General features: G+C 43.9%; 1 long non-coding RNA gene across 1 annotated transcript, besides 2 other annotated features; it reads right to left on the bottom strand.

The window, feature by feature from the left end:
* Window positions 1-1,347: 1,347 nt before the first annotated feature.
* On the bottom strand, window positions 1,348-5,803 carry LOC107985656 (uncharacterized). The gene is made up of 3 exons (XR_002958816.2): window positions 5,408-5,803; window positions 3,153-4,194; window positions 1,348-2,048 (listed from the first exon to the last, which is right to left on the bottom strand). It is a non-coding gene; the product is annotated as an uncharacterized LOC107985656 (long non-coding RNA).
* Window positions 1,719-2,918: an enhancer, noted in NCBI's record as "P300/CBP strongly-dependent group 1 enhancer chrX:13687079-13688278 (GRCh37/hg19 assembly coordinates)". NCBI's record gives its function as "activates an origin of replication core promoter dependent on BRD2, BRD4, P300/CBP, MED14 and CDK7 cofactors, with strong dependence on P300/CBP, by STARR-seq in HCT116 cells {active_cell/tissue: HCT116}" and the evidence as "EXISTENCE:reporter gene assay evidence [ECO:0000049][PMID:35650434]".
* Window positions 2,542-2,681: an enhancer, noted in NCBI's record as "active region_29443". NCBI's record gives its function as "activates an Ori minimal core promoter by ATAC-STARR-seq in GM12878 lymphoblastoid cells {active_cell/tissue: GM12878}" and the evidence as "EXISTENCE:reporter gene assay evidence [ECO:0000049][PMID:35858748]".
* Window positions 5,804-6,438: the final 635 nt, after the last annotated feature.

The following is a 6,438-nucleotide window of genomic DNA, read 5'->3' as shown; positions in this document are numbered from 1 at the left end:
AAAAAGGAACTGCCAAACTGTTTCCCAAAGTGGCTGCACCATTTTATATTCCTGCCAGTAATGTACAAAAATTCTAATTTCTCCACATCCTCACCAACACTTGTTATTTTCTGTGTGTGTGTGTGTGTGTGTGTTTTGTTTTGTTTTTTTCTAATTATGGCCATCCAAGTGGGTGTGAAATGGTTTCTCGTGGTGGGTTTAATTTGCATTTCCCTAAGGACTAACCATGTTGAGCATCTTTTCATGTGCACGTTGGCCACTCCTGTATCTTCTTTGCTCTTCTTTGGTGAAGCGTCTATTCAAATCTCCTGCCCATTTTTAAGTTGGGCTTCTGGATATATATCTGAAATAGAGCCAATATGATTTGCCAACTGATTGGAAGTATGATATGAAAGAAAGAGAGGAGTTAATGATGACTCCATGTTTCTTTAGCTCAAGGTACACAAGGATGGAGTTGCCATTCAGTGGAGAAGGAGGCGCTGGAGAGAAGATTGGAAGCTTGATTTTAAACATGTTAAGTTTGAGATGCTCACTGGACATGCAAGTAGAGTTGTCAAGTTGACTGTTAGGTTTCTGGATCTGGAATTCTGAGGGGGAGATGCAAGCCTGAAGATAGACAGCGGGGAGGTCCTTAGCATGGAGATGATGCAGGAAGCCATGGAACTAGAGAAGATCACCAAAGGAGTGAATGTAGATAGAAGGGGTCCAAGGATTACATTCCAGGACATTCCAGTTAAAAAGTCAGGAAAGATGAACCAGCAAATGATACTGAAACAGAGTGACCAGTGACAGGGAAAACCAATGAGAGTGTAACCTACTGCAAGCCACATGAAAATGTTCTCAAGAAGGAAGCAAGCATGTCAAATGCTGTAGATAGGATTCAAGGCTGAGAACTGTCCCCTGAATTTAGTGACGTAGAGGGTGGAGGTCATTGGTGACCGAGGCAATCAGAGAGATCCATGTTAGTTTCCATGCTAGGAACTCAGGCATTTCATCCAAAGGTATAAGCAGGAAGGCAGACTTCGTAGGGCCAGCTGCTGTGGACAGTTAATATGCAGTTGATGGCTGAGGACTTGGTGAAAAATGTAGATTGGGATTCAGTAGGTCTGGGATGCGGCCCTTGTTTTGGTATTTGCTCCCAGGTGATGCTGATGCCATTGATCCCAGGGCCTCAATATGAAGGGCGAGAGTGCAGGGCTGATTTCATTTGTGGTTATTACAATTCTTTTCTGAGTATAACTCTTACTGGGAACGAAAATGTCAACTGTTTGGGGTTGATTCTAGAGGATTTTTTATTTTCCAGGGGTTTAATATCATTGATAGTTCAGCTCAGATCTGTAGCTTGAGAAATGGGGAAGAAACACAAGGACCGATGATTTGGGATCCCCGTTGAGCCCTGTGAGCTGTGTGAAAGCAGGTTTTATGCAGAACCGCAAATGCTAGAGCCCAGGAAACCGCCCTGACAACTTTGAAGGCATTGGGAGACTCACTCTTTATCTGTCAGTGATGTGGCTGGGGCCTCCAGAAAGCCCCCTTTGAGAAAGACTGTCATTACGAGCATGTATAAATTGGGACTAAGGTTCAGAATGACTCACTGAGATAAATATCCAATAGAGACCCTCTCTCCAATTTCTTCCTTCCATTCATCTGATTTTTTTGGGTAACAGCTTTATTGATATTATTTATACTATACAATTCACTCATTTAAAGTGTACAATTCAGTGATGTTTAGCATGTGCATCCATCACCACCACCAATTTTAGAACATTTTTAGCACCCCCAAAAAGAACCCCCCATGTCCTTTTTGTTTTGAGACAGAGTCTCCCTCTGTCACCCAGGCTGGAGTGCAGTGGCACGATCTCAGCTCACTGCAACATCCGCCTCCCGGATTCAAGCAATTCTTGTGCCTCAGCCTCCCAGGTAGCTGGGACTACAGGTGCGCACCACCACGCCCAGCTAATTTTTGTATTTTTAATAGAGACAGGGTTTCACCATGTTGATCAGGCTGGTCTCAAACTCCTGACCTCAGATGATCCACCCGCCTCAGCCTCCCAAAGTGCTGGGATTACAGACCTGAGCCGCCGCATTCAGCCTCATTTTTAAATGTTCATAAAAATCCACTAAGTCATTTGGAAACTTTCTGCTGAGCAATTCGTGAGATTTCACAAAGCTGGGGGACAAAAGCCCATCTGCTGAAAGAAAACAAAACTGAAGGAATAGAAATCCTCGGTCTGAAAAGATAAGACAAAACAAGATGGCCTGGTGGACTCATAAACACCAACACACAGTCCATGTAAAATCTTCAAGTCCTTTTCTGCTAGACATGGGTGAACTTTGACTTTTAGCTCTTCCCAACTGACACGCACATGAAGTCACACGCCATGGGGAAGAGCTACGTGGGAAACTGTTGGACAAGTGCCTGGGTGTGCTGTGGTTAGAGAAAAAAAAACAAACTGAAACTGGTTTTGCAGCTCTGTCTTCAATCATTCACAGATAGGCGCGTTAGGTGGAATCCAGCCAGATGACTCAGGGCCTCACCGGCACCTTGGAAATTTCTGAATTTTTTGTTTCAGTCTACAAAGGGGAATTTCGTGAGTTATGACATCACTCTGAAGTTGTAAAAGTAGCTGCCGGGGAGCTACCTGTATCTGTTTACCTGCATTTCAAAAGTGAATATGGTATATTCCAAAAATAAAAAGTAAAGAAGTTTTTGAATGGGTGAAGTTTTAACTTGCTTATTAATTGGATATGTAACTTTACCATGGTTGTTTTAGATTTTTTAAAAAAATTTGCCACCATTTGAAAAAGATTAATGACTACTTGGAACCTACCCCTATTTGTATCTCATTTACATTTTAAAAGAAAGCAAGAGTATGTCCAACAAATTAATTTTAATTCTATTTTTGACTCTCTGTCCAGGAGGGTACTTACAATAATTTAACAAAGGATTCTAAATAACTATTTTTTCATAATTGATTGTTATTTTCCTAGATCATACAGGCAGAACATGAAGATAGAAAGGCCCTATATTTGGCGGGGTATGGTGGCTCACATCTGTAATGCCAGCACTTTGGGAGGCTGAAGCAGGTGGATCACATGAGGCCAGGAGTTCAAGACCAGCCTGGGCAACATGGTGAAACCCCCGTCTCTACTAAAAACAATACAAAAAATTAGCCAGGCATGGTGGTGCATGCCTGTAATCCCAGCTACTTGGAAGGCTGAAGCACGAGAATCACTTGAACCTGGAAGGCAGAGGTTGCAGTGAGCCAAGATCGCGCCACTGAACTCCAGCCTGGGTGACAGAGTGAGACTCTGTCTCAAAAAAAGAAAAGAAAAGAAAAGAAAGGCCCTATATTTTATAGGAAATGATACCTGAAACTGCATTTATATATTTATAGTCTTCAAATTCATAAAAATATATAAACATGTAAATATCCCTTAAAAAGCAACATGTTCTTATACTGTCAAATTTCAGTATTTTAAAAATTACTTACTTTTCAGAAAACTGGATAAACCACATGGATGCCACGAGAAGGTGTCAGGAGAGCCAGCAATCCTAGCCAGGTGGTCCCTCCCAATCTCTCCATCATCAGGAGGAGTGCACAGTACTGGTGTAAGGGGGGATCCATACACCACATGCTCCTGGCATTGAAAGAACAAACCACAATTATAAAATAGCAGGACCTCACCTGGAATTAATAGGAAGCCTGCTGTTATTTCTAGAAGCAATCTGACATGCAAAATAAACAAAACCTACCCACTTTGTTATGAGTTAGTCCTGGCTTTGTCTCTGTGTACCCTTGGGCAAGTAACTTAATCTCTCTCAGCCTTAGTTTCCTCACCTCTAAAATGCTGTGCAGCAGGGTAGTTGTGAAGATTAAAGGAGATGCTATACATAAAGTGCCAAGAATCTAGCAAATATGGTGCTGGAACAGACTTTCCCATTTCCTCTGCCTGGCCATCTTCCTCTCAAGATTTGCCCTAAGGGTCACGGCCTCTATGAAGCTTTCCCTGACCCTCCCACACTGGGTTAGTTGATCCTCTGGGGTCCTCTGCACCCCTTTCCAGTGGGTGTCTCTCTCAGAGCTCTTAAAAGGTAAAACGATTGCTGGCTGCATAGCATGGCGCTTCCCCTGCGTTTCGTGGGGCTTGAGGCCTGGGATGGTGTCTTAATCATCTCTTTGCTCCCGGCACCTGGAAAAGTGAAAGCAATGTGCAATCATGAACACAGAGCATTTCTGATGATGCATGCTAACATTTGTGGAAATCTATTATTATTATTATTTTTTAGATGGGGTCTGTCTCTGTCACCCAGGCTGGAGTGCAGTGGTGCAATCATGGCTCACTGCAGCCTCAATCTCCTGGGCTCAGGTGATCCTTCCACCTCAGTCTCCTGGGTAGCTGACACTACAGGCACACACCACCACGCCTGGCTAATTTCTATATTTTTTGTAGAGACGGGGTTCAGACTGATCTCCAACTCCTGGGCTCAAGTGGTCCTCCCACCTTGGCCTCTCAAAGTGTTGGGATTACAGATGTGAGCTACCACGTCTGGCCAGGAATCCCAGTTTTAAATAATAATGCAAATGGGACTATATGAGGTTGTCATCTGGTCTCCCTTCTGATTGTGGGGCTCTTCTGAAAGCCTAGGTACTTACAGTATCTGAGAGATACAAAAATAACTACTTTAGTAAAATATTTTGCATTTACTGGGAAGTTATAAATAACAAAGCAATCTGACCCAGAAGATGAAGGCCCAGCCCTTGCCAAAGCAGTGGAGCACTGCCAGCTGCAGGCTTCCTGACTGGTATTTAGAATGGTAGTGGCGAATGAAAGGAGCCTCTCATCACAGGAAGTGCTCAGGGAAGAGACAGAGCTCCAATTGTATCCAACTTTTTATCTCAGAAAAGTAACACAGACAAAAGGAGAGTGATGTGGGAAAATCCATCAAGAGTCAAGAGAGCGCTCCTACATTCAGGTATAACAACTGGTGTTTATGCCCTATGCAGGGACTCCCAGTAATCATGGCAACCCGAGTATAGGATATACTTGTCCAATGCTGAATTTCTGCATTGTCTATTATTGTTTATTATGGGCCATGGGTAGGGAACTTGGGATTTAGTGTATTTTATGAAATATCCATTTGCAAAGTTGTCAAGGACTTTGCTGACTATAAGGATTCGGGGAGCCCAGACTCTGTGTACTCTTGCTTGAAGCCAGTTATTTGACATTTGGATCACTGCCAAGGGTCACCTGTTGTCCCTGCATGCATCCTTGCTTCCTTCCCTTCTAATTCAATATAACAGCCAGAGTGATCCTTCCTAAAGGGTGTTAAATCTCATCACCACAAACTCCCCAGCTTCAGTGGCTTCCCATCATGTTTTAAGAAACGCCCCCAAATCCTTACCATGGCCGACCGACAAGAGCCCTCACGATGGCCTCTTTGACTGCATCTCTCATCCTTGTTCCCCTTGCTCACTGTGACTTAGCTGCCGTGGACTCTTGCTGGAACTTGCGTGTATCAGGCAGTCTCCTGTCTCAGGGTCTTCCATTTGCTGTTTCTGAAAAAGCGATTTTAAATTAAAGAGTCTTGGCCAGGCACGGTAACTCATGCCTATAATACCAGCACTTTGGGAGGCCGAACACTTTGGGAGGATCGCTTGAGCCCAGGAGTTTGAAACCAGCCTGGCAACATGAAGAAACCCTGTCTCTACAAAAAATACAAAAATTAGCTGGGCATGGTGGCACGTGCCTGCAGTCCCAGCTACTCAAGGGAGTGGGGATGCTGAGGTTGGAGGATTGCTTGAGCCCGGGAGGTTGAGGCTGCAGTGAGCTGAGATGGCGCCACTGCACTCCAGCCTTGATGACAGAGTGAGAACCTGTCTAAAAAAAAAAAAAAAAAAAAAAAAAAAAAAAAAAAAAAAAAAATCTTTACCCTGCAGTCAATTTTAAAGAAAGTCCTTTCCTTTTAGGGGAAAGGACATAGGATCTGAAAGAATTACCTATAGGCAGAAAATGTAATGCTGTCTCATTAACCAAAAGAAAAACACACAGATTACTATTTTCCTATCTCAAGTTGCAAAACTCACGAATAAAGATGAAATGAAATGAGGAAGACCACGCAGATTGGTTTTTTTGTTTGTTTGCTTGAGGTGGAGTTTCTCTCGTTGCCCAGGCTGGAATGCAATGGCGTGATCTTGGCTCACCGCAACCTCTGCCTTCTGGGTTCAAGTGATTCTCCGGCCTCAGCCTCCCGAGTAGCTGGGATTACAGGCACCCGCCATCATGCACAGCTAATTTTTGTATTTTTAGTAGAGACGGGGTTTCACCATATTGGCCAGGCTGGTCTTGAACTCCTGACCTCAGGCAATCCGCCCGCCTCGGCCTCCCAAAATGCTGGGATTACAAGCATGAGCCACCGCACCCGGCCAGACCATG

The sequence above is a fragment of the Homo sapiens genome, chromosome X (assembly GCF_000001405.40).
Source record: "Homo sapiens chromosome X, GRCh38.p14 Primary Assembly".
Lineage (NCBI taxonomy): Eukaryota > Metazoa > Chordata > Mammalia > Primates > Hominidae > Homo > Homo sapiens.
This window is presented reverse-complemented; position numbering and strand designations above follow the sequence as displayed.